This window comes from Homo sapiens, chromosome 17, assembly GCF_000001405.40.
Source record: "Homo sapiens chromosome 17, GRCh38.p14 Primary Assembly".
Lineage (NCBI taxonomy): Eukaryota > Metazoa > Chordata > Mammalia > Primates > Hominidae > Homo > Homo sapiens.
Window position 1 is genome coordinate 21,196,454 of NC_000017.11, and position 26,003 is coordinate 21,222,456.

Genomic DNA, 26,003 nt, shown 5'->3' on the forward strand with positions numbered 1-26,003 from the left:
GGTGCACACCCAACACCGTCATGCCCCCAGCACTCAACTGAGTGATAAGTTATTTCTAAATCTCTTGGAATTAAATCAAAGTTTCTTAAACTTTTTGTGGGCCGTGGGTCCCTTTTAAAATCCTTAAGAGGTGTGAATCTCCCCTACAAAAAATGGCCCAATCACCCCTCGTGAATCCTTCCCATGCACCCTTTCATTACTCTGTGACATCAGGTCTTCCTGATGGGGACTTTAAAACTAGGTGAGAAACCACTTTGGCTGTCTCTTAAATATTGGCCTGGCCAGGCACGGCAGCTCACGCCTGTAATCCCAACACTTTGGGAGGCCGAACCGGGCAGATCACTTGAGGCCAGGAGTTAGAGACCAGCCTGGCCAGCAAGGCGAAATCCCATCTATACTAAAAATACAAAAAGTATCCAGGTATGGTAGCACACAGCTATAGTCCCAGCTACTCGGGGCTGAGGCAGGAGAATCACTTGTACTCGGGAGGTGGAGGTTGCAGTGAGCTGAGATCACATCACTGCACTCCGTCCTGGGTGACAGCAAGACTCTGTCTCAAAAACAAAACAAAACAAAACAAAAGACTGGCCTTCAGAAGGAGGTGCCATGTGGCTCTTCAGGGATGAATGGGGCTTTAGGAAGGCAGAAGTGAAGACAGGCACCCCAGCCTTTTTGTGGAAGAGAGAATTTCCCATTTACCCAAAGCCTTAGAGCAAGCTTGTCCAATCACCAATCAGCAGCCCATGGGCCTCATGCAGCCCACGATGGCTTTGAATGTGGCCCAACACAAATTTGTAAACTTTCTTGAAACATTATTTTTTTGTGATTTTTTTTTTTTTTTAGCTCATCAGCTGTCGTTAGTGTATTTTATGTGTGGTCCAAGACAATTCTTTTTCCAATGTGGCACAGGGAAGTCAAGATTGGCCACCCCTGCCTTAGAGGAAATGTGGCAGGTGACACAGTCTACCTTCTGGTGTGAGGGAGAAGCACCGGCTTGGCTCCTGTGGAACAGCGAGCACTGAGGCCAGGGGGTGCTTCCAAGATTGCTCCGAGGGCTCTTCTGTCAGCCTAGGGCAATGGGTTAATAAACTCATGGTCCACAGTAGGAAGAGTTTTGGTGCTTCAAAGAAAACACAGGTGTTCAGATCTCTGAAGAGCGATCCTGGAGCCCAGAGTTCCCCACGTGAACTCAAGTGGACACCCAAAGGCCTCCAAGCCTCGTCACCTTATCCTACCATGTTCCTGAACAGCATGGTGGCAGTGATGGCCTTCGGAATGATGAGGCCAAGGTGAGCCAGGAGACTGCTCCTGGGCGGGGTTTGGCCCCAGGACTACCTTGGATCTAGGCTTGTCGTCGCTGTAAGTGGTAACACTGGGCCGCAGCTAGGAGCAGGGCAGGGTGGCTACCATGGCACCTGCTCCTTCCATGTGCAAGCCGCCACCCAGAGCAGATGTGCAGCAGCAGCTGCGGGCAGTCATGGAAAGAGAGAACAGCGGGAGTTGAAATTCTCATAATTTTAATGATCAATAGCTTCTGGTGGGCTCTGGATGGTACAGTTAAACAATAGACTTAAAGACCTCCCCCAAAGCACGTCCACACCCCCTCGGCAGCGTCTGCCTCCATCAGCATTCCACTGCCCAGTCGGACTTCCACAGCCTCAGACCCCCCTCTTGGGTTATGGAAATCCACATCTTAGTGTAATGAGCTGAAAAACCCTGGGTACACCCGTGATCTGTTATTTTTTAAAAATAACAAATACTAAGCCAAACACCTGCCCAGGCTCTGCTGCCTCACAGAGTGTGGCGATCTGAATACTCTGTTGTCTCTTGTGGGCCGGGTGGTTTTGCTTCGCTCCCTGTTCTACTGAAATCATACGGCATAGAGTTCGTAAATCTTCTTTACACAGTACACCAGGGCGGCCAGTGCTATCGTGTTGTGCAGTCTCTTTCTGTGCAGGTCGTCCTTCCGGACCAGCACCACCGGGGTGGAGGAGGTGAGTGTGTGCAGAGGCAGGCGCGACAGTTTATAGGCGTCGTACTCCACTTGGTACTTGCAGCAAGGGTCAAACTGCCAGGAGATCCCATAGAGGGTGCAGCAGGCCAGGCTCAGCACACCAGCGGGCAGGGAAATGTAGTGGGAATAATCTAAGGGCAGCGCCAACGGGGTGAAGAGGCAGGCGGTGCCCGCCAGCACGGCCGTCTTGTGCAGGCAGTTGCCCACGGTGATCCAGCGGGCTGTCTCGTCGCCAATGCGAGTGGGCTCAATCACAATGTACTTGTACTGGGCTTCCAGGGCCTGCTCCAGCTCGTACTCAAACTGGTCTTGGGCATTCTCCCCATTGTAGATCTCATGCACAATGTAGCAGTCTGTGGCCGACAAGCTCACCCTTTTGATGGAGGGGGCAGGAAAGGGAGAGAGAGAGAGAGACAGGATGATTAGGCTGAGGAGCACTTAACTGTGTTTCAGCGCTGGGGGAGGTCTGAGCCTGCACTGCGGAGAGCACATCTCACTTGGGTCCTCATCTCCTTTAAATCCCAACACAAGATAATCAGTAAAAAGGATTTTTCCTGAAAATAGTGAAATAAAGCTGGGTGTGGTGGCTCACACCTGTAATCCTAGCACTTTGGGAGGCCGGGGGGGCGGATCATGAGGTCAGGAGTTAGAGACCAGCCTGGCCAACATGGTGAAACCCTGTCTCTACTAAAGATACAAAAAAAAATTAGCCAGGTGTGGTGGCGCATGCCTATAATCCCTGTAATCTACTCGGGAGGCTGAGGCAGGAGAATCACTTGAACCTGGGAGGCGGAGCTTGCAGTGAGCCGAGATCGTGCCATTGCACTCCAGCCTGGGTGACAGGGCGAGACTCAGTCTCAGAAAAAAAAAAAAAAAAAAGATATAAAAAGGCAGGAAAAGCAGTGCCTCGACGTTTAACATGACAAACACAGGCCTGGTGGTTAGCCTAAGGCTGTGGACCAACTGATCTGAGTCAGCAAAGGAGCCTAAAGGGGAAAGAACGATTCGGCACAGAATCACAGGAGCACACACGGCAGCAGAGGGCCAACAGCCTGAAAGCCATTCTTAGTTAATCAGGGCAACTGCAAGAGGATTCTTCACTGGAAACCACAGACCTCAGGACAGATAATGCTAAGCCCTTGCCCTCCGCACGTTTCCTAAGTAGTCATCCTGGGCCTGCAGAACAGAGGCAGAAAGGAAGAGCTTTGCCTTGGGCGAATGAAATCCAAACTCCTTTGGCTCTCCTGGAGGCCAGGCTGCACAAGCCCTGGGTGCCCTTCCTGGGCCGGCAGCAGCCCCCAGCTCCTCCCCGCTGCGGAGGGGAGAAGAGGAGACCCAGGACACTAGCCCACTGCATAGGAAAAGCGACCCTTTCCTTGAATTAGGAAAAGACAACGCTTCAAGAACAGTAGTGGGCTCCAAATTTAGTAAGCAGGAGGGTCAACTGAGGGGCTTCAAAACATCCAGCCCAGCAATGCCACCAATTCTGGCCCTGTAGGCCCAGGCCCCTGCACCACCGGCAAATGCCACTCATTTGCATAAGAAACACTGCCACGGAGACCACACAAGGGGCTTTCCCCCCCGGGACTGGGGATGCATGTCATGACCCCAACCAGCAGGAGAGTAATCCACCACACGGAACGCTCAGCTCTGCAGCAAGGCCAGACGGCAGCCCGGCTGCAGCCCCAGCAGTGACCGTGGGCCAAGCTGCATTTCAGGCAGTCTTGCTTTTCTTGGTTTCAGGCCTCTGCGGTACAAATTTCCCACCCAAAGCAGAATCTTCTTCACCTGTGGCGGGCAGGCCTGAAGACAGGGCTATCCATGCCTTGTCATCTTTCCTTGGCTGGTTTCAGCTGAGACAGATCTCTCTGAATCTCCGCACCGTCACCCCACATCCTAGTTTTCCGTTATCTGCTCATCTGCAAGAAGTCTTTATCTGGGCCTTGACGGGGACACTGCTAGACATAGCTCTTGAGGCTGGATCAAGTTTTCCAACTCATGGCTCCCAAGGCTGCACAGAGCCATGTTCTGTCACATGCCTCAGGGAAAAGCTGCCCCTTCCCTCAGCACACCCTGGTCCCCAGGATGGTCGGACCCATCTGACTAAAGGACACAAGGCTCCAGGGACCTGCTGGTCACTGCTCCCCTGCTGGAGTCCATGCCCTTCCAACTGGGAGGCTCTGGAACACTGTACCAGGCAACACAAGGGTCAATGTGGCCCATGTACCTGAAGCTCCGAATGTGCCTGACAGGAACTAGCTTCCTTTCATGGCTAACGAGAAGCACAGCCCTCAGTGTGCACAGACGCGAAGGTCCCGTCCGCCCAGCCTGTCCTGGCAGGCACACCTGGCTGCGGTGCAGAGGAGAGTCATGGGGAGCTGAGCCACCTGGCCATTGGCCGTAATATGGGAGTGACGAGTGAAGACATTCATAACAAGCCACCCCAGAACCTCAGCCCAGCATGAAGGTAACTCCCTCCAGCCTCCTTCAAAGATGGGAGCAATTCCAAGTGAAGGATGGTGGAAATCGGACTGTCGGGAAACTTCAAGGAAAAAGAACAGGCAATCGTAGTTCTTCCTACTACTGAGACTCCTCCCAGCTCAAAGCTTTCAGCAAACAAATAAGCAAACCTAACAGGCAGGGTTGCATTCTGGTTGGATAAACAACTAGTTAACGATCTCATGTGGCCACATTAAAGATGAAAGTCATTGGTAATGGGCTGACTGTGCCCCCAAGCATGGGGACCCTAACCCCGCCCCTGGGTGGGAACCACTTTCATAAAAGGCACTGGCTTGGACTTGGGCAAACGGAACTCTTTATCCTGAAAAAGTCACTGTAACTAAGCCAGGCTAAGGCAAAGCCTCCTAATTCAATCATAGGCCCTAATTAAACGGCATGCACTGGGGAGAAATCAGTGCCCTGAGGGTGGGACAAGAGCCTCCTAAACATGGGTTGCTGCCAAGCCACCTGTGACTGTGCCAGTGTCACGGCTGCCTCGCCAGGGATGAAATGATGAGCTGTTACTGTAAGACTGCACGAGCAGCTTATGAAATGGGGAAAGGAGGGTTTTCCTTCTAAAGTTCTCGGTGGAGTTTTTCCATTTGGTCTTAGAGGAGAGGTAAGGGAGAGGCCAGCTGTTACTTCCAGGTAGGATTCAACAGTTTTTATTTTTGAGACAGGTTCCTGCTCTGTCACCCAGGCAGGAGTGCAGTGGTGTGATCTCTGCTGATGGCAGCCTCGACCTCCCGGGTTCAAGAGATCCTCCCACCTCTGCCTCCCGAGTAGCTGGGACTACAGGTATGTGCCACCACGCCTGGCTGCCTGGCTAATTAAAAAAATTTTGTTGTACAGATGGGGTTATGCCATGTTGCCCAGGCTGGTCTCGAACTCCTGGGCTCAAGTGTTCCACCCGCCTTGGCCTCCCAAAGTCCTGGGATTAACAGGCATGAGCTACCGCATCCAGCCAGATGCAGCATTTTAGAAGCTACCTACAGCAAACAAGCACACCCAAAGCAGGGTCTTCACTGGCGCTGGAAAGCTGAAGGCCGAGCAGTGCCCCCACGTGCTCAGATGAGAAATGAGTGGCGGTGGCGCAATGGGCTGGCTGTGGCCCTGGGTGTGCGGGGAGGGGCGGGGCCTCCACTCTCAGGTGGGAGCACTCCTGGCCAAGAGAACTCCCTTCTGGTCTCAAGTCCATCAGGCAACAGGAGCAGAGAGGCCAGATAACAAGGTAGGGGTGGAGGACCAAATCGTGTCCCAATCTTGAGACGGAAATGGAGTTGCTTCCAAGTCAGCTGTGCATCCTACTGACTGTCAAAGCCAGGCCAGGGACACCTTGGGGCGGGCACCAGAGGCGGGCTTCCTCCCTCAGGAACACTCAAAGCAAAAGGGAGGTGTCAAGCTGGGGTTACACAATGTTCTCGCCAACACCCAAATCCACCCTAGTGCGGTACCTTTCTCTGCCCAGCAGGCCAGCGCCATCCTGAATGTAGTGAAAACCACTGTTGGTCCCACAGAGGAAATTCCAGTGGAAACCCCGGTCCTGGAACCGACTGCCCCATCTGGAAACACAGCAGTGGGCAGATCCCACCCCCTCACCCCCTCCGGCCCCCCTGCAAGCCCAGCTGGCACCCACATCCACCCAGACCCCTCTGCAGGCTCCATCGCTTGCTGGGACGGATGGGTGGGTGCGTCCACGAGTCCCAACCAGCCTGGAAGCAGCGAGAAGCCAAGGCCCTCCAGGCTCCCTCCCACCTCACTGCTGTTGCCAGGTGTGGCCCGCCCCCCAGCACAGGGAGTGAGGAGACTGGGCATCCTCTGCCCTCGGCTGTGGGCAGTCCTGTGAATGACACAGCCATAAGCAAGCACGTGGACATGGGGGCACTCGCCAGCACACATCCTGAGATGGTGGCGTGGGTCTGCCCCCACCTGCCTGTCAAACCATGGCCCCGGCCTCCTGCAGCCTCGGCGTCTTCATATGGGCTGGGCACTGTTGCTGCCCACTGTCTAAGACACCTATCCACAGCAGAAACACAAAGGACATAAGCCACACTGCCTTCAAACAAAGGCAGGGTCCTGCACAACGGCGCTGAGGCCAGAGGCTCACCAATTCTGCTTTTAAAGCCAGTTAGGCAAAGGGAATCTCGGTTTCCACTGGGAAAGGACAACACGTGAAGTCTAGGGAAGTGGATTTCTAGGATTCTATAAGGCAACAGACCCTATATGGAGACGGTAAGGTTCAAACCAAAACACACACAGACGCACCCAAAGCCGCAGGATCCCTCCGTTGGAGCTCACCCGGCCACGACCAGGCAGTCAGCACTCCAACTTCCTGGTACACTGGTGGGAGTGGGGTGCTGTCAGTGCAGACACAGGTTTTTTAGCTGCCACTGCTGGGCCCTTGGGTTCAGGTCTGCACTGCTGACAGGGACTGCTGCACTTCTCTTACTTCAGAAATTCGTGGCCATGACCAGGTGCGGTGGCTCACGCCTGTAATCCCAGCACTTTGGGAGGCAAAGGTGTGCAGATCACTTGATGTCAGGAGTTCGAGACCAGCCTGGCCAACAAGGTGAAACCGTCTTTACCAAAAATTAGCCAGGCGCGGTGCTGCACACCTGTAATTACAGCTACTCAGCAGGCTGAGGCACAAGAATCACTTGAACCTGGGAGGCAGAGGTTGCAGTGAGCCAAGATTGTGCCACTGCACTCCAGCCTGAATGACAGAAAGAAAAAAAAGAAAAAAAAAGAAAAAAGAAACTGCCAAGTACTCCCAGGAGACAGCCACGTCCAGCCAGCTCCTGACCACCCAGCAGCCACCCGTATATGGCTTGCTTCTGCTTGTGGGTCAAACAAAACCTAATGAAGGAAAGAACCCAGTCAGAAGGTTATCTCAAACCACTGCAGAGCATCACCAGCTGCCCCCTAACTGGTAAGGCCATGGGCTTTAGGAACTGGGTGATCTGAACCCTGGTGCATGGGAGATCTTTTTTTTTCCTTTTTTTTTTTTTTTTTAAATTATATGGACTTTTTTTTTTTTTTTTAAGTAAGAGCTAGTTGGAATCTTTTGAGCCCTGGGCTTCCTAAGGGACTGTATTTTTGCTTTTCATTGCAGGTGTGAAATGACCAGTAAGAGAGCAATTAATAGAGTCTATGTTTAAAAAAAAAAAAAAAAAGAAAGAAAAAGTGGCCAGGTGCAGTGGCTCATGCCTGTAATCCCAGCACTTTGGGAGGCCAAGGCAGGCGGATCACCTGAGATCAGGAGTTCGAGACCAGCCTGGCTAACACGGTGAAACCCTGTCTCTGCTACAAATACAAAAATTAGCTGGGTTTGGTGGCACGTGCCTGTAATCCCAGCTACTTGGGAGCCTGAGGCAGAAGAATTGCTTGAACGCAGGAGGCGGAGGTTGCAGTGAGCTGAGATCATGCCATTGCACTCCAGCGTGGGCAACAAGTAAAACTCCGTCTCAATAAAAAAAAAAAAAAAAAAAAAAAAGAGAAAAAGGTAGCAGCAGTAACAGCAAAGTCTCCAACTGAAAGCAAGTTCAGGGGAAAAGGCAGGGTTCAGAAGAGTGTTTACAGTATGCTATACGTAGTGTATTTTTAAAAGTCTCTATTTGCTTTTATATGCACAGAACACTTCTGAAAGGATACACAAAGACCTGATTTTTATGACTGGTCACTAGGGAGGGAACTGAGGGGCTCAGGAAAGAAAAGGAAGGGAGGCTCTTTCTAGTAAATGACTTTTGATCCTTTTGAATCTGGCATGATCTCTGGTACTTAAAGATCACTGTCGGAAGTGGGTCTTAACATATGGAAGAAGAAAAGTAAAAGGATCAGTGTCATGATCCTAAACACATCATGCCAGCACTGAGGAAGCTTTGGATTCTCTGAGCCTTTAGTGCTGGGAGCAGGGGTCAGCCCGTTCCAGCACCTCAGGGGGACTGCTGCAGACACTGAATGGGACCGCTCTCTGCCGCCTCAGGATAGCTTGCAGGCACTCATAAAGTGGGCATCTTGAACTTCCTCCCTCAGCCTTCAACCAGAGTCAGCCTTCAGGCCCTCATCTCTCCACTTTTGAGCCCAACTCAATCAGCTCTCGCAGTCAGCAAAGGAATCCCCTGGCAACACTAGCATTCCAGTTAAAAGGCGGCCACAGTGAAAACTCAGCAGGGCAACTCCACGGCCCCTCTGGGATGTGGGCAGCCTGTGCCTGTCCCAGCAGCCACAGTCTGGAGGCGTCTCCCCAAAAGGCAAGAGCCGCACAAGAAGGTTCAGAGCAGAACTGTTCGGTGAGAGCAAAAGATGACAGGAGCGGGGAGAGCAGAATCGCACCTCCTCCATTAGTGACATGAATCAGTTCCAGTGGCCTGAGCCAGGGATACAACTCTCACACATTCTAAGGCGGCAGAGCTCAGGGACGTGCCACTGAAAGCCAACTATAAGGACAGCAAGGGTGCTGTGGTGCACTTGGGGCACAGGGTCTCCGCTGCAGGAGGAGGCAGGCCAGGGTAACGCTAGTTCTCTATCGCGCTGGGTGGGGAGCCCACACAACTATCACTTTGCCTTTTTTAAAGTGTGGTAAAATACACGTAAAATATACCACCGTAAGCACTTTTAAGTGTACAGTTCAGAGGCACTAAGCACATGCACACTGATGTACCAACCATCACCACCATCCACCTCCAGGATTCCTTTACCTTCCCAAACTGAAACTCTACCCATGAAATGATCCCCCCATTCCCCACCAACCCCAAGCCCCTGCAAACTACCATTCTACTTTCTACCCCAATGAATCTGACTATACAAGTACTTCATACAAGTTGGATCATATATAGTATATGCCCTTTTGTGTCTGGCTTATTCCACAGAGCATAACGAGTCTTCAAGGTTCATCCATATTGTAGCATGTATCCGAATTTTCTTCCTTTTTAAGGCTCAGTAATGTTCCACCGTATGCATAAACCACATTTTGTTAATCCATTCATCTGTGATGGACACTTCGGTTTCCACCACTGGCTATTGTGAATAATGCTGCTATGAACATGGGTGCACAAACATCTCTTTGAGTCCCTGCTTTTTTTGGGGGGGGGGTATATATACCCAGAAGTGGAACTGCTGGATCATATAGCAGTTCAATTTTTTAGTTTTTTTGAGGAATCTCTATACTGTTTTCCAGAGCAGCTGCACCATTGTACATTCCCACCAGCAGCGCACAGGGGTTCCCATTTCTCCATATCCTCACCAACACTTGTTATTTTCCGTTTTCTTTTCTTTTGAGGCAGTCTCGCTCCATTGCCCAGGCTGGAGCGCAATGGCGCTATCTCGACTCACTGCAACCTCCGCCTCCCGGGCTTAAGCGAGTCTCCTGCCTCAGCCTCCCAAATAGCTAGGACTACAGACATGTGCTGCCACGCCCAGCTAATTTTTGTATTTTTAGTAGAGACAGGGTTTTCACCATGGTGGCCAGGCTGGTCTCGAACTCCTAAGTGATCTGCCAGCCTCAGCTTCCCAAAGCACTGGGATTACAAGTAAGAGCCATTGTACCTGGTCTCATTTTCTTTATTTTTATTTGTTTATTTATTTTGTGGAGACGGAGTTTCACTCTTGTCACCCAGACTGCAGTGCAGTGGCACAATCTCGGAGCACTGCAACCTCCACCTCCTGGGTTCAAGCAATTCTCTTGCCTCAGCCTCCCAAGCAGCTGGGATTACAGGCACGTGCCACAACGCCCAGCTAACTTTGTATTTTTAGTAGAGACAGAGTTTCTCTATGTTGGCCAGGCTAGTCTCGAACTCCTGATCTCAGGTGATCCCAAAATGCTGGAATTACAGGCATGAGCCACCATGCCTGGCCTGATTTGTATTTTTTAATGGCAGCTTTACTGAGATAGAATTCACAGCTTTACTGAGATAGAATTCACAGAGCAACTCCCCCATCGGAGGTGAACGATGAAGTGGCTTTCCCAAAGTTGTGCAACCAATAGCACAACTGATCCTGGTGCATTTTCATCATCTCAGAAAGAAACCCTGTACCAATTAGTGGTCCCTTCACATCTCCCCAGCCCTCCACAACCACCAGTCGGCTTCCCAACTCTCTGGATATGCCAATTCTGGGTATTTCATTTAAATGGAATCCTGTAACGTGGTCTTCAACAACTGGCTTCTTTCATTTTGCATTATGTTTTTAAGGGCCATCATGCTGTGGCATGTTTATTACTTTTCACATATTGTAAACATAACTTTTGATGTGTTTAACATATAACTTTAAAAAATCTAAGATAAGGCTGGGCATGGTGGCTCACGCCTGTAATCCCAGCACTTTGGGAGGCTGAGGTGGGCAGATCACCTGAGGTCAGGACTTCAAGACCAGGCTGGCCAATGTGGTGAAACTGTGTCCCTACTAAAAATACAAAAATTAGCTGGGCGTGGTGGTGCATGCCTGTGGTCCCAGCTACTTGAGACTGAGGCAGGAGAATCGCTTGAACCCCGGAGGCAGAAGCTGCAGTAAACCGAGACTGCACCACTGCATTCCAGCCTGGGTGACAAAGTGAGAGTCCGTCTCAATAATATAATTTTAAAAACCCCTAAGGCAAGATATATAAGACAAAGTATCAAAGGTGCTATACATGAAAATAGATCAGGCTAGGCGCGGTGGCTCACGCCTGTAATCCCAGCACTTTGGGAGGCCGAGGCGGGCGGATTACCTAAGGTCAGGAGTTTCAGACCAGCCTGGCCAACATGGTGAAACCCCGTCTCTACTAAAAATACAAAAATTAGCCAGGTGTGGTGACAGGCGCCTGTAATCCCAGCTACTCAGGAGGCTGAGGCAGGAGAATCGCTTGAACCTAGGAGGTAGAGGTTGCAGTGAGCCAAGATCACACCACTGCACTCCAGCCAGGGGGACAAGAGCGAGACATTGTCTCAAAAGAAACAAGAAAATAGATCAACAGTGGTTTTCTTTGGATGGTGGCCTAATAGGTGACTTGTCAATTTCTTCATGCTTTTCTATATTTTTTAAAAAAAAGTGTTTCTTTTTTTTTTTTTTGAGACGGAGTCTCGCTCTGTCGCCCAGGCTCAAGTGCAGTGGCGTGATCTTGGCTCACTGCAAGCTCCGCCTCCTGGGTTCACGCCATTCTCCTGCCTCAGCCTCCAGAGTAGCTGGGACTACAGGCAATCGCCACCACGCCCGGCTAATTTTTTGTATTTTTAGTAGAGACGGGGTTTCACTGTGTTAGCGAGGATGGTCTCAATCTCCTGACCTCGTGATCCGCCCACCTCGGCCTCCCAAAGTGTTGGGATTACAGGCATGAGCCACTGCGCCCGGCCAAAGTGTTTCTTTTATAACAGGAAAAATAATTATAAACTTATTCTTAAAAAGAAAAATTCTGTTCAACCCTATATCCCTTGAGGTAAAGGGACCAGATACCCGTGGGAGGGCCTCCTTCCACTGCCAAGAAGAGCGGGAGGTGGCTCACTTCCTGCTCCAGAACCTTCTCGGTGTCCATGAAAGGCAGAAGTCTGGACGCGGGCAGCTTCTCATGGCTGAGGTGTCATGCTGGTGTGTACCTGTAGTCCTGCCCAAAAAGAGGAGGGCAGTTCCAGCTCCGTTTCCCTTGAGCAAACACTGGCTAAGCTGCCAGGCCAGCCACCAATCACCTTCCCAGTTCTGAGAGACCCAGCAGAGGCAAATCTGAGTGGAAGCATCCACATTAGGCCCCTTCTTGGAGTGGGGCCCGGGCTCACAGGCAGGCCTGAAGCTCCATGAGGGCAGAGGCTGCATTTTCATCGTAGTTTCCCCAGCACTGGGCCTGAATGTAACAGGTTCCCAAAAGACACAGGTTGGAGGGACATTTGTAATGATTACAGACATGAGCCACAGGAGTCACAGGAGGAGAAAAACAATTATGGTTATTAAGAGAACTGGTACCAGAAAAGTCAACCCATCCGTCAGGCTGCTTTTCACTTAGTGAAAGGGTCACTTGATCACCTATGATACAGGAGGTGCTGGGCTGGACCTCCACCCGCTTCTGCCTAATTAAGCCCTGCTTCTTTGGGACCCACAGAAAGCAGAGGACTGAAGCAGTGAAAGCCCGTGCCCCAGACTCAAAGGCACGGGCATGCGGCCCCATGGCCTGAGGACGGCTCCCACAGGCCAAGGAACTTTCACAGGACACCCAGCCCTTTCGTCTGCTTCAGAGGACACTTTCCTATTCTGCGCACTGGTAACTCAGCAGCCCTTCTATCTGGGGAGCAGGAACACGGCGCACCAAGTGTGGGAGTCGAGAGGGTGGATTCAAGTTCCCTCTCGGCTGCCTACTGGCTTTGTGTCCTAGGGCAAAACACCCGGCCCCTCTGAGCCAGTTTCCCATGTTGTCAAACGGGGCCAGAGGCCCTGGCTCTCCCAGAGGACTGCAGTGAAGATGGGAACAGTCGCCAAGCACTGCCCCTCTGCCTAAGACACATGTGGCTGTTGAAATTTAAATTAATTAAAATTAGACATCTTAAAAAATTCAGTTCCTGGCCGGGCACAGTGGCTCACGCCTGTAATCCCAGCACTTTGGGAGGCCAGGGCGGGTGGATTCCTTGAGCCCACAAATTTTAAGACCAGCCTAGACAACATGGTGAAAACTCTGCCTCTACAAAAAATACAAAAATGAGCTGGGCGTGGTGGTACATGCCTGTGGTCCCAGCTACTCGGGAGGCTGGGGTGGGAGAATGGTTTGAGCCAGGGAGACGGAGGTTGCAGAGATCCGAGATCATACCACTGCACTCCAGCCTGGGTGACAGAGCCAGACCTGTCTCATAAAATAAATAAATAAATGAAACCTCAGTTCCTCAGAGCCACACGTGGCTAATGGCTGCCCTAATGGACTGCAGGGACACGCCAGGAGTCTGTCATGCCAGAAACTCCTACTGGACAGCCCTGCTCTGAAGAACTGTTATGACTACTACATGGCTGTCAGCTTTTCCTGAGAACTGTGCCCATAAAGTGGCTGCTGGCACCAGGGCGGAACACCGTGGCAGTCAGGAGGTTCCCGGGTGTGCTCGGTCATGGAGTGCTGCCCAACTCCACCCCCCGCACCTCGCTCATTGAAGAACAGGTGCACACCGACAAGCCGGGGCAGAGGAGCCACCTCCCCACCTCCGTGGACCCAGGCGCAGCCCTCCCCTCTTCAGAAAGGGGAGCCTTCCCTGGAACATGACCTAAAGGACTGAACCACTGAGACACAAATTAATGCACTTGGAATCCAGGCTGCTTGAGTGAACCAAGGAAAACAGAAATTCTTGAAAACTTGAAGGCACATCAATACTGAAGAGGATGAACCCCATCCTTACCTACGAATCCAACTTCTGCGGCCAGAACATGTGGCTTTGCCTTTGTTAAAGAGCTGAGCAGAATCCCACAACCAGTGGCTAAACCCCCACACACTTGGGTGCAGATCCCGTATCTGCTCATCTCATCCCAGCCAGAAGGAAACAAAAACTCCCGCCACACACAAAAGCAAGCATGGAGTCTTTCAAGAGAGATTAAATACTCCCAAAGCCTGAGAGTCTAAAAGGGAAGGATCAGATCAGAAAGGGAAGCTGTCACCCCGGGACCATGACCCAACCTGCCCCCGGGGCCTGTGCTCCATCTGCTCACTGGATGAACGTGTAAGGGCCACCTGGGACCAGGCACACCTGAGTTCACAAAGAAGAGGACAGGTCCTGGGGAATAAAGCATGGCAAGGAAAGCCATGAAAGTCAGCCCAGGGAACTGGCTGCCTATAAAACGCTGGAGCAGATGGCCGCGCAAGCCAGGGGAGGGGCAGGCCACAACAAATAACTTCGCGCTAAACCTGAACTTTTAGCCCCGTGCATCTGGCCCTCTGCACACCCCAGGTTGCCTCATATCATGCTCAGAAGCAGATCAAGTACATCTTCACGTGATTATAAAAACAGGAACTCAAGAGCACACAGCTATACTCACATTCCAACAATCACGGAGGGCTCTGGGAGGTTCAGGGGCCCTGAGACAGTGAAGCCGAGCAGCCCAAGTAAGACAGGCAGGGCTGTCTGTGAGCTGGTCCGGGCTGGCACACGGTGGCAGAACACAGATACCTGCACTGTGCTTTCCTAGATGGGCAAGTGTGTCTCAAAGACGCCGACAGGACAAGTGGCAATCTGTTTGATGTGCTCGTTGCCAGTGTGCTGAATTTTGGACAAGAATTCAGGTTACAGCTCAGAGTCTGATGTTCTTCATTACAAACACTGTTGGTTCCCTAGATTTAATGGAGTGGAGAGAAAAATCAACATGCAAGCACTACCATTTTGCTATTTCCACCCCTCCTATCTTAGTCGAAACCAGCACTGTCCATATCATAACTTTCTGCAGTGATGGAAATGTCCTCCACCTATGCTGTCCAATATGGTAGCCACAGGCCGGAAGTGGCTATTGAGCACTTGAAATGTGGCTAGTGAGACTGAGGAGCTGAATTCTTCATTTTACTTAATTTTAATGAATTTAAATGTAATTGCCACATGTAGCTGGTGACTACTGAACTGCTGTGTTAATTCAGCACTAATTCTAGAGCTGTGGTTCTAGACTCAACAAGGTAAAGCAAGAACCCACACGCTACACGTGCTAAACTGGACCATCCAACACACAGCGCCGGCAGTAATACTGCAGGCAGTCTGGCACTGGGTGGGACCTTTAAGTACAATGCATGCTTCAGAGTTGGTAGCCGCTGGCAAATCTGGCAAGTGTGCCCAAAGTGTCACTCTGTTCTAGCCCCTTCCCCAAACCAGATAATGTTTCCCTCAGCTTCAGCAAAAGCAGATGCTAACCAGGTGTGAGCAGCAACGGGAGAGAGCACTCGTATAACATGGAGCTGAGATTTGAGTCAGCACGAATGTGACATGGAACAAAGTCATTTTAGAGAGCCATAAACAGCCTACTTCAGTCATAAGAGCCAATAATACACTCAGATCTCATAATCTAGAGTGCTGGGCCATCAGCTAATCCGCCCTGCCCCACCTGAACAGTCATCACCAACTGAGCAGGAATGGAGGGATGCCCAGAAGTCAGCTCGCTAGCCCCACAGCGGGTTATGTTTCCATCCCCTGCTCAGCATGGGAAGAGCTTAGGGAAGCTGGGCTCGGGGAAATGACTCTTCCAACAGAACCTGGCTAGGGGTTTACAGCAAGAGCAAACAGACAGGTAGTCTCCACCCATACCACGTTATCTAGGAGAGTAGATGGTGACATCCAAACTACAAAACCAAATGCCACATTCCTGCTGACACACAACATCTGCGTGTGTGAGTAGAGCCTTCAGTTCCAGGCCAAAGGTGCAACCTGAACACCTACAGAGACCAAGCAGGCAAATGCATTGAGTCAAGCTGACAGGTGATTTGAGTCAAGCTGTCAGGTGATTTGAGTCAAGCTGTCAGGTGAGGAACCAAGAACTGGAACCAAGCACTTGTCCCGACCAAAAAGAGTCAGCCACTACCCAGCTTTTCAGGGAGCGTTTTATATGAAATCTGCTGGCAACTAATTTAAATTCTCTTAAAAACTGTTGAGGTTCAACAGTCAAGGACTGGATCCAGCCTATGCACTGCTAATTTGCAGATCCATTTTGAATAAACAGTTGTCTCAAGCCAAAACAAAAACAATTCTCAGCATCTATTTTCTTAGATCAATAAAAGCTTAACCTGTGCTGGCAAGGCTCCTGTTCCCTGCCTGAGGCATCCCTATTCGGCTCTTTTCAGATGCTTTTAGTCCAACAAGAGGGCGTATGTTTCTAATACTTTGTTTTCTAAACAGGTTATTTCGTATTACTGTTTGCATTGAATATCTTGAAAATGTTTGCTAGTTTTTAAGAGCATCTGAAAACCATTGAGGTAACTTATTTAAATGGTCCAATCTAATACCAGGCGGGAGTTAGAAAAACAAAAGTGTGTTTACCACTGCTTTTCCAAGGAAGAGGAAATGCAGAATGGGCAACGCTGGATAACTGGGCTAAAGAATAAAGTGCAAGCAAGCTAAAGGATTCTATCACAACTGCCAAACAGGAAGAATCTTCCCAGCTGGGAAAGCCATCTGCAAGCAATAGCAATGAACACGGGATGGAATCAGTCACAGAAAAGGAATAATGCAGAGTAGTTGAGAGGAAGATAACTTTTCTGTTAGACAATCCTCACCAAAAAGACGGGGAGGGGGAGAACCAGCAAAACAAAAACTTTTCCTTTTTTGCTGACCGCTGCTATAACAATCAAGCTTTAGCGGACAGTTAATCCAGGTGGCTCCACCAATACATCTTCTCCCAAATTTCTAGTGGCTGAACAGCTTCTAGTGGTTTCCACTAGCTGAAACTGCTTCCCAGATGCAAAAACTGCAACTTGAACATGAAACACGGAAACTACTCCAATCTCATCTTCTAGAAATCAGTTATTCAAATGGAGGTCCCTGTTGGAAGAAACACGCTCCTAGCTCCCTGCCCACACACCATTCATTAGGAAAGGTCACTTTAAAGGACTTCTACGGCAGGAGCGCTTGCACAGAACCATCCAAAAGTCTTCAGAATCTTCCCTCGAGGAAGTGGCCGGCTCTGGGCTCGGAAGAGACACATCTGGCGGGAGCTAAAGCTCCCTAGTAAACGTGCAGATCAAACTACCCCTGCCGCGGCCGGCCTGCTCTGTGAAGGCTTCCCCTTCTTTCTCTCTCCGGGGGCCCTGCCTTCCTCTACACGTCTGGGGCCGCGGCCGAGATGGCCACGCGCGTGCCCAGGCGGGAAGGGTGCTTCAGCAGCCGATCGGCCCGCGGGCAGCTAGGCGGGTCCCTGAGGCCTGCGCTGGGCGCCAGTTCCTTTCAGCACGGCCCGGCCTCGGGCCCCGCCCCGCATGGCCGCTGCCTACCTTACTCAGCCCGGCTAACGCCCCTTCCCCTAAGCTCTCCGCCGAGGCCTTCGACCTCGCTCCCACCCGGATCCCGGATCCTCCGGAACTGGAACCCAGTATGCCCGGCGAGGGTAGGGGGAGCGCGGGGAAACCAGGGAAGGAAGGCTGCTGCAGCCCTCGGAGGCCGCGCTGGGCTCTCCGGCCGCTGAGCCGCCTGCACTGGGGGCAACAAGCCCTTGGATCTCACCTCTCTCGGGCGCTGCCGCCACTGCTGCCCGGGCCAAGACGCCTCCTTCCCCAAGCGGCCATCTTGGAGACACTCTGCTTGCCAACGTCTCGCGCCAAGGCGGCATCGGGAGAGCAGGCGGGCCGACGGGAAGTGTAGTCCGGCCTGCGGTCCGGGGCCGCTCGGCAGGCGGAAGCCAGACCCGGCGGAACTACCGTGCCCACAAGGCAGCGCGCCGGAAGCCCCGCCCCCGGGGTCGCCGGGGCCCGTAGTCCTTCTGCGAGGGCGCGAGGACTCCAGGAGCCGTCCTGGTTCGAGCATTTCTGAAGAAACTGAGTTCCCGGCGTTCGCAGCCTGGGAGTCACAGGCGCCCACCCACCGGTAGGTCCTTGAGTTTCGAGAGCCAGTAGCTGAAGGAGAGAGGAGAGGCAAGTGCCTACAACTCCCAGAGCACTGCGCGGAGGCGCCCGGCCGCGCTGTCCTGGCCGCCAGGCTGCCTCTCCCGCTGGGGGCCGCCGCGCTGTCTGCGGGCTACTAGCGCCGGGCCCCTCCGCGTCGCCACGCCTGCCCTTCACAGCCTTGGCCCATAAGGTCACCGAGGGGCGGGAGGCGCCGCCCGGGCCCTCCTTGGAGGCGGGCGCTGCTCCCGCACCATCCTCCCCCAGTTCTCTTAGACTCCGGGGTACTTTGGAGGCCGAGACAGACACGCTGTCCCTGCTGCCACGGAGGTCCCTGCTTGCAGGTGCAGGCTGTTAGAGGAGAGGGTCTGAAAACAAGAAAGGGGAATAGCTGTATGATAACTGCTTGAAGGCGAGAGGGCCCAGCGACAGCTCTGTTTTAGACAGGGCCTCCAGGCCTCTTAGACTCAGTCCCTGCCACGCACCCACTCCTGCCCTGGCCGCTGCGACGGCATAATCTCGGGATCTTTGAAGGCAGATGCGGGGCTAAACCATCCCACCTGACGGGAACCCTGCCACAGGACCCGACATATCCCTGTCTGGACACTGCTGTAACGAGTCAAAGTCAGGAAGGACTAACTGGAGCCCAGAGATTCCCAGGTGCTGCTGCCTCAGACCTGTGGACTCTTTGGAGGATCTCTTACAGTTTGTGAACTTCTCAGTTCCTCTACTGCTCCCACAGACAACGTTGCTAAACATATTAATTGGTCCCATAAATACTTGAGCAAAACAAATGCGAAAATCTGTCCCGAATTCAGCCTAGAAGAAGCCCAGCCCTGCGCGTCACACTTCTGTGTAGTGGAACCCCCCTTCCCACCCCGCCGCAGGCCACAGCAGGAGGGCCAGCAGACGGAAAGGCGACCCTCTCCTTGTTGAGGATTCCTTTCGATTTCCTTCCAGCTGACATTCTACCACAGTTTTAGCTGCTTGCAATCCTCTCACCGTCCCTCATCACCTACAGTGTGTGATTCAAATTCCTTAGCACAATCAAGAAGCCCCTCCTTAGTTTGGAAGTTGCCTAGCTCTCCAAATTCAACTGCCTACCTTTCCCGTCTGGAACTTGCCAGGCTAGTAAATTCAGAGGGTTTGCAGATACGTAGATGTTCTATGCTTTACCTAAAATGCTTTTACCTCCCAGCCAACTTTTTTTTTTTTTTTTGAGACAGAGTCTTGCTCTGTCGCCCAGGCTTGAGTGCAGTGGTGCGATCTTGGCTCACTGCAACCTCCGCCTCCCAGGTTCAAGCAATTCTCCTACCTCAGCCTCCTGAGTACCTGGGATTACAGGTGGTGCCACCACACCCAGCTAATTTTTGTATTTTTAGTAGAGACGGGGTTTCACCATGTTGGTCAGGCTGGTGTCCAACTCCTGACCTCATGATCCATCCCCCTCAGCCTCCCAAAGTGCTGGGATTTACAGGCATGAGCCACGGTGCCCAGCTCTCCCAGCCAACTTTTGTCCTTCAAGACCTTGTACCTGTCTGGTCTCTAAAAAGTACCTGGCCTTCCTGTTGAGTCATACAGCCCTGCCTCCAAGTGTCAGCGTAGTTCATGCTGGAGACCTCTTAACAGTTCCATGGTATGACACTGCGGATATGGCTGTCTTTTCTTTGTATCAGTGTGGTGATTCAGAGGGTATACTAGGGATTCTAGAACGCACTTCTGGCTCAGGGGCTGCTTGTGTAACTTCTGTTTCTCAGCTGCCTGGTTTGTATCATGGGATGATAGTATCTCCCCTCAGAGGATTGCGGTATTTCATGAGGTGATACGTGTATGGAGGCCAAGTGCTGTTTTATATTTTAAGTGATCTACATCTTGATTTTCACAACAACTGTATAAAAGTGATACTGTTGGCCAGGTGCGTTAGCTCACGCCTGTAATCCCAGCACTTTGGGAGGCCAAGGCGGGTGGATCACCTGAGGTCAGGAGTTCAAGACCGGCCTGGCCAGCATGGTGACACCTCGTCTGTACTAAAAATACAAAAATTAGCCGGGCATCGTGGCACACGCCTGTAATCCCAGCTACTCGGGAGGCTGAGGCATGAGAATCATTTGAACCCGGGAGGTGGAGGTTACAGTGAGCTGAGATCGCACGACTGCACTCCAGAATGGATGACAGAGCAAGACTCTGTCTTAATAATAGTATCACTTTTTTTTTTAATCAACAATCTCATTTTGTAAATGAGGAAATCAACTTACAGACGACCTGAGTGACTTGCTCACACTGCCAGCCAGGAAAGTGCTAGGATTTGAGCCCAGACTGTCCAGTTACAGAGATTACACTCTGCCATTGTGCCTCTCCAGAAGCACTGGAGGTAGGTCTAGTGCATAGAGTAAATGTAAATGCTGAAACAACTGTGGCCCTAATGAACATCCCATTTCTCCAGCTTTTTACTCTCCCCTTAACTTCTGAATGACCGTCTGCTTCTAATCTGCCAACTTGGTCTAAGATCCTCACGGTGTTTCCTCCTGATTACTGTTAATGCACGGAGGTTGTCTGGAAGGTTCATAGGCAGCCTGATTGACTCAGTATGTATTAGCTGAGCACCTTTGGAGGGCACAGCCTGAGTGGTGGGAATTAGTTCCTGGGGGCTGTCCTGCGGTGGAGACTCCCGTGAGCCCTCTGTCCTGCTGTATGAAGGCAGCCAGTGGAAAGGCATGTCCTCGCTGGTGCTCAAAGTAATCTGCTACTTCTCTTACTACACTTTTCATTCATTCATTCTTAAATCGTTGAAGGCATACTCTGCAGGTACTCTTGGGCACAGAGATACGGTGTTTAGTAAGACAAACACTGTTCCTGGGTCTTAACGGGCTTTACATTCCAATGGGATAAACAACTTAAGTAAATATTTTCAGAGAGGAGTACCAAGAAGAAAAGGAACAGGATGATATAATGGAGTGACTTGGAGATCACAGGTGGTAAGAGGTCACTCTAAAAAGGTAACATTTGAAGGCTGGGCACAATGGCTCACACCTGTAACCCCAGCACTTTAGGAGGCTGAGGAAGGAGGACAGCTTGAGTCCAGGAGTTTGAGGCCAGCCTGGGCAACATGGGGAGACCTTGACTCTACAAAAAATTTAAACATTAACTAAGTATGGTGGCACGTGCCTGTAGTCCTAGCTACTGGAGAGGCTGAGGTGAGAGGATCTCTTGAGCCCAGGAGTTTGAGACTGCAGTGAGCTATGTTTGTATTACTACACTCCAGCCTGAGGGACAGAGTGAGACCCTGTCTCTTAAAAACGAAAACCCGACTGTATCAAAAGGTAACATTTGAGTGGGACTTGAAAGAGTGTGCATGCGAAGGACTGAAGACAGAATGTTCTGTGCAGAGCGAATTAATGCAATGGCTTTGCAGTGCAGATGGGCCTGGGGTGGTCCAATAAGGTTAGGACCAAGGTGGCTGGAGCATCATGAGACAAGCGTGGTACTTAGCTTGCCTTTGGTTAAGTCACTTTCTCTATTTGAATTTCAGTTTCTCACCTGTAAAATATGAGTAATTTTATCTGTATTAGCCAGTGTGTAATTAGAGGAAAAACCATTTAATACAGGGTATTGTTTACAAAGGTGTTGGAAGGGCATGAGAAACAAGGGGAGAACAAGGGCACCCAAAGCCTGACCCCCACAAGGCTAGAGGAGCAACAGGAAAATTCGTTTCCAGAGACTGATTCCTCAGCTGCTGAGCAGGAGCCTGGAGCCACACTTGCTGCCTGGTACTACTGACACACAACTGGAACCACCGCTGTGGCCTGGGGTGCCACCAGAAGCCAGAGATTAGAATTGCTTTCCCCATCTCATATCTTCCAAACTCCCACCAGTGCCTCCCACTGGCTGAGTCAGATGACAAGGGAGTCTGGGAAATGTAGTTGTTTGGCTTCCAGCCCTGACCATGGAGAGTATAGAAAGGCAGGTGTAGGGGAGAAAATAGATGCCATTCACACAGCGCCTATCTTGCAGGGCTGTTTTGAGGAGTAAAAACTCAGCCTATTTTTATTCCTCATAGCATGTAGTAGCATTCAGGGAAAGGCAAATCTTCCAAAACAATATCTTAGGTATAATAGTTCTACATAAAGGTTTGAATTTACCATTAAAAGCATCAAAATGAGCATTTTAAAAGTAGAATTTTAAGTCTGAATGGGCAGTATATTCACATGGTATAAAATTCAAATTACAAAACAATATACAGTGAAAAATAAGGGGGTTTTTTTGCTCATCTTCTTGTGACCTGGCTCTTTCCATCTCTGTCCACAACCCTCTGCAGGCAATAACTGGTACCTTTGTTATGGATCCTCTGCAGATATAAAGTAGACATATATTAACAAATGTTTTCTTTGGCCCAGAGGATGCATATTATGCACATTCCTCCATTTCTTGTTTGTTTTTGTTTTTTCCACTTAATTGTATCTTGGAGATCACTCTGTATCAGTATATATCTGATTTGTTTTAGCAGTACATGATAATCCATTGTTTGGATATGCCATAATTGTATCAGCCAGTCTCTGGACAGTCTTTTACTATTTCAAGGAGTGCTGCAGTAAACATGTTTGCGCCACTTCCTGGTACCCATTGCAAATAAAACTGGGATAATTTCCTGACGAGAACTTGCTGGGTCAGAGTGTAGGCACTTGTTGTTTTGATAAATATTGCCAGACTACACCCCACTCCCTCCAGCAGTACATGACACTGCCTATTTCCCCACAGCTGTGCCAGCATGGTCTGTTAGCAAGTGTTTTCTTTTTGCAAATTTAAAAGTGGTATCTCGCTAAATGCAATATGGTAGCAGAGGACATTTGTGGAAAAACAGGTGAAATCTGGGCTGGGTGTGGTGGCTCATGCCTATAATCCCAGCACTTTGGGAGGCCGAGGCAGGCGGATCACAAGGTCAGGAGTTCGAGACCAGCCTGGCCAATATAGTGAAACCCCGTCTCTACTAAAAATACCAAAAAAAGTTAGCTGGGCATGGTGGTGCAAGCCTGTAATCTCAGCTACTCGGGAAGCTGAGTCAGGAGAATCGCTTGAACCTGGGAGGCGGAGGTTGCAGTGAGCCAAGATCATGCCACTGCACTCCAGCCTGGGTGATGGAGTGAGACTCTGTCTCAAGAAAGGAAAAAAAAAACAAAAAACAGGTGAAATCTGAATGGGGTCTTGAGTTCAGTTAATAGTAACTGCCAATGTTGGTTCTTAGTTTTGACACATACCATGACTATGTGAGATGTTAATGTCAGGGGAACCAGGATGAAGGCTATACAGAACTGTACTATTTTTGCGACTTCTCTGTACATCTAAAATTATCCTTAAAAAGGTTTCTTTAAAAAATGACATCTTGTTTTCTGTAAAATTTGAATTTCTCATGAGTGAAATGGAACGTTTTGAATATGATGCTCTTTTTAAAAGGTGGCCTTAATAATTTGTATTTACTAAGGAAAAAAGTCAGAGTTTATTTACTTTAAAAAAATTCAGGCCGGGCGTGGTGGCTCATGCCTGTAATCCCAGCACTTTGGGAGGCTGAGGCGGGCGGATCACGAGGTCAGGAGATCAAGACCATCCTGGCTAACATGGTGAAACCCTGTCTCTACTAAAAATACAAAAAATGAGCCGGGCGAGGTGGCAGGCGCCTGTAGTCCCGGCTACTCTGGAGGCTGAGGCAGGAGAATGGCGTAAACCCGGGGGGTGGAGCCTGCAGTGAGCAGAGATTGCGCCACTGCACTCCAGCCTGGGGGACAGAGCGAGACTCCGTCTGAAAAAAAAAAAAAATTCATTAACAGTACATTTAAAATTTCTGTTACTGGAGATTGTATTTCTCATTCCATCCATTAATGTGCAGCTTCAATGTTTTCCCCCAGATATGCAATTTCACTTACAGGATCTTGTTCTTCAGTGACATGTCATAAGAGTTAATAATTCCACAAGCCACCCTGCACTGCTGTGATCCTAACAATATTGAAAGGTTGGTGTGTATCCTTTCCTACCTTTCCTCATTCTAAAATGTTTCCTCGTTCTAAATGCCAAGCTGGTTTTGAACAACTGACCTCAGGTGATCCACCTACCTTGGCCCCTCAAGGTGCTGGGATTATAGGCATGAGCTAACATGCCCAGCCCTAATCTGCTCTTCTTAGATGGATACTTGTCAGATTGGGTTAAGACCCACTCTCATGGCCTCATTTTAACTTAATTTTCTCTTTAATAAAAGTCCAAATGCAGTCCATTCTGAAGTACTGGGAGGTTAAGATTGTGTTATTTGAATTGAAGTGAGGGTGAGGGGCAGGGGCACACAACTCAGCCCATAACACGTAGGATTAAAAAAATTCTTCGGGTCCGGGGAGGTGGCTCACACCTATAATCCCAGCACTTTGGGAGGCCAAGGTGGGAGGATCACTTGAGCCCAGGAACTGGAGGATGCAGTGAGCTATGACTGCACCACTGCACTCCAGCCTGGGTGACAGAGTGAGACCCTGTCTCAAAAAATAAAGTGAAGCCTCAGCCTCAGCATACAGTGAGGCAGTGTGTGTGTGCAGTGAATCGAAGTTCCAGTCATCATTACTTCATTTCAGGGCTCCACACTGCCATCTGGGCATCCCCAGGCCTCTCTGGACTGGCCCTGCCCCACCCTCATGGAGGTAGCCTTTACCTGGCAGGCACCTCAGAGGCTGGTCCTATATGTCACATCATTGAGATAAAAAGAAATCCAAGGCTGGAAGCAGTGACAAATGGTGTGGACTTGGTGGAAGTTGCCCAGGGAGATGGATGAGAATGGTGACATCACACATAGCACGGCTTTTTCTCCAAAATCCCAGGACTTACCACAGTGGCCACACTCTGTCTCTCACCTGTTCACTTTCTTCTGCTCGCTCGCTCTCTCTCAGCCTCCCCTGTCCCACCTTTTCCATATGCGAAGACTCTCCCCCAGCACCCCTGTGGTGGTTTAAAAGCATGGCAGCAAACTCCTCGGCATTCCTTCCTTCAGGGTGGTGCCTAAGTCCCCTCCCAGGGAATCTGAGTGGGCCTATAACTGCTTCAGTCAGCAGGGTGTAGAGGAAGTGATGCTGAATGACTTTTAAGGTTGGCTCCTAAAAGGCCATAGAGGCTCTGTCACTGGAGCTCCCTGTGCTGTGATGGAAGTCTGAAGTCTTAATGCTGAAGAAGCCCAAGCCATGTGGAGAGGCCAGGTGTCAAAGCTCTAGTGAGCATCACAGCTGAGCAGGGACAGGGCCCTCTGCTTCTTGTGGAGCCCTCTCTAGATTCCCCACACACAGAATCCACAAGCAGAATGAAGTGGCTGTGATTTGATGCCCCTGGTTTCCTTGTTATGCAGCAGTAGATCACTGAAATCAACCCCCTTCTAAAGGCCTCTCTGCAGACATTCTCCACTTGGTGAGACCAAAGCTAGCCTAACAGGGCTCAGCAGCAGAGAAGCCCAGCCATTGGCCAAAAAAGCCACTGGCTACCATGCAGCCAGGATGTCCTTGGGGAGCCTTGATCTATCCCACCACATCAACATTTCCACCTCAGACATGGGAAAGGCACCAAGGTGTGAGCATGGGCAGTACTCCTAGGGAACCCCAAGCACACCCCATTGCCCCAAGATGCAAATGGAACTCCTCACTGGTCCCATAGTTTTACAATGTGAGTCTAGGAAAGCACAGATGAGCCCTCTTTTATGTTATTGTCCGCCTTGGCGGAGAATGGAAACAGCAAGAATGCTGAGCTTGTGGTGCAGACTTGGAGATGCATTTGTCACTAGAACCTTAGCGCGTGCTTGTACAACCCTGGTGGTGGAGAGATGAATGGACGAGGCCCCTCCTTTCCATAGCTCATGTGGCCAGCCCCTCATCTAAGGCAGGGGCCAAAACAGAGCAGGAATGTGGAAGGGTGGCCAGCTGTCCTGGCTTGCCTGGGCCTGAGGGGAGTCCCAGGGCATGGGATTTTTAGTTTTAA

General features: G+C 50.6%; 1 protein-coding gene and 1 long non-coding RNA gene across 4 annotated transcripts, besides 6 other annotated features; one reads left to right on the plus strand and one right to left on the minus strand.

The window, feature by feature from the left end:
• Positions 1-1,500: 1,500 nt before the first annotated feature.
• On the minus strand, positions 1,501-17,708 carry TMEM11 (transmembrane protein 11). Of its 2 annotated transcripts, NR_024547.2 has the most exons (3): positions 17,638-17,708; positions 14,483-14,774; positions 1,501-2,387 (listed from the first exon to the last, which is right to left on the minus strand). NR_024547.2 is itself a non-coding variant. In NM_003876.3 (2 exons), exons 1-2 carry the CDS (start codon positions 17,697-17,699, stop codon positions 1,871-1,873), a joined length of 579 nt encoding a protein of 192 aa, NP_003867.1. In that variant the 5' UTR covers positions 17,700-17,708; the 3' UTR covers positions 1,501-1,870. The 2 variants fall into 2 exon arrangements, 1 of the variants encoding a protein (NP_003867.1); NM_003876.3 differs by lacking the exon at positions 14,483-14,774.
• Positions 2,449-3,246: an enhancer, noted in NCBI's record as "NANOG-H3K27ac-H3K4me1 hESC enhancer chr17:21102215-21103012 (GRCh37/hg19 assembly coordinates)". NCBI's record gives its function as "activates a minimal SCP1, AML or CMV promoter by ChIP-STARR-seq in primed H9 embryonic stem cells {active_cell/tissue: H9 hESC(primed)}" and the evidence as "EXISTENCE:reporter gene assay evidence [ECO:0000049][PMID:30033119]".
• Positions 8,653-9,285: an enhancer, noted in NCBI's record as "H3K27ac-H3K4me1 hESC enhancer chr17:21108419-21109051 (GRCh37/hg19 assembly coordinates)". NCBI's record gives its function as "activates a minimal SCP1, AML or CMV promoter by ChIP-STARR-seq in primed H9 embryonic stem cells {active_cell/tissue: H9 hESC(primed)}" and the evidence as "EXISTENCE:reporter gene assay evidence [ECO:0000049][PMID:30033119]".
• Positions 17,610-17,709: an enhancer, noted in NCBI's record as "active region_11880". NCBI's record gives its function as "activates an Ori minimal core promoter by ATAC-STARR-seq in GM12878 lymphoblastoid cells {active_cell/tissue: GM12878}" and the evidence as "EXISTENCE:reporter gene assay evidence [ECO:0000049][PMID:35858748]".
• Positions 17,790-17,929: a silencer, noted in NCBI's record as "silent region_8313". NCBI's record gives its function as "represses an Ori minimal core promoter by ATAC-STARR-seq in GM12878 lymphoblastoid cells {active_cell/tissue: GM12878}" and the evidence as "EXISTENCE:reporter gene assay evidence [ECO:0000049][PMID:35858748]".
• TMEM11-DT (TMEM11 divergent transcript) lies at positions 17,872-24,280 on the plus strand. 2 transcript variants are annotated; one of them, NR_184102.1, is made up of 2 exons: positions 17,872-17,997; positions 23,912-24,280. It is a non-coding gene; the product is annotated as a TMEM11 divergent transcript (long non-coding RNA). The 2 variants fall into 2 exon arrangements; NR_184103.1 differs by lacking the exon at positions 23,912-24,280 and adding an exon at positions 21,636-22,669.
• Positions 18,050-18,319: a silencer, noted in NCBI's record as "silent region_8314". NCBI's record gives its function as "represses an Ori minimal core promoter by ATAC-STARR-seq in GM12878 lymphoblastoid cells {active_cell/tissue: GM12878}" and the evidence as "EXISTENCE:reporter gene assay evidence [ECO:0000049][PMID:35858748]".
• Positions 18,480-18,689: an enhancer, noted in NCBI's record as "active region_11881". NCBI's record gives its function as "activates an Ori minimal core promoter by ATAC-STARR-seq in GM12878 lymphoblastoid cells {active_cell/tissue: GM12878}" and the evidence as "EXISTENCE:reporter gene assay evidence [ECO:0000049][PMID:35858748]".
• Positions 24,281-26,003: the final 1,723 nt, after the last annotated feature.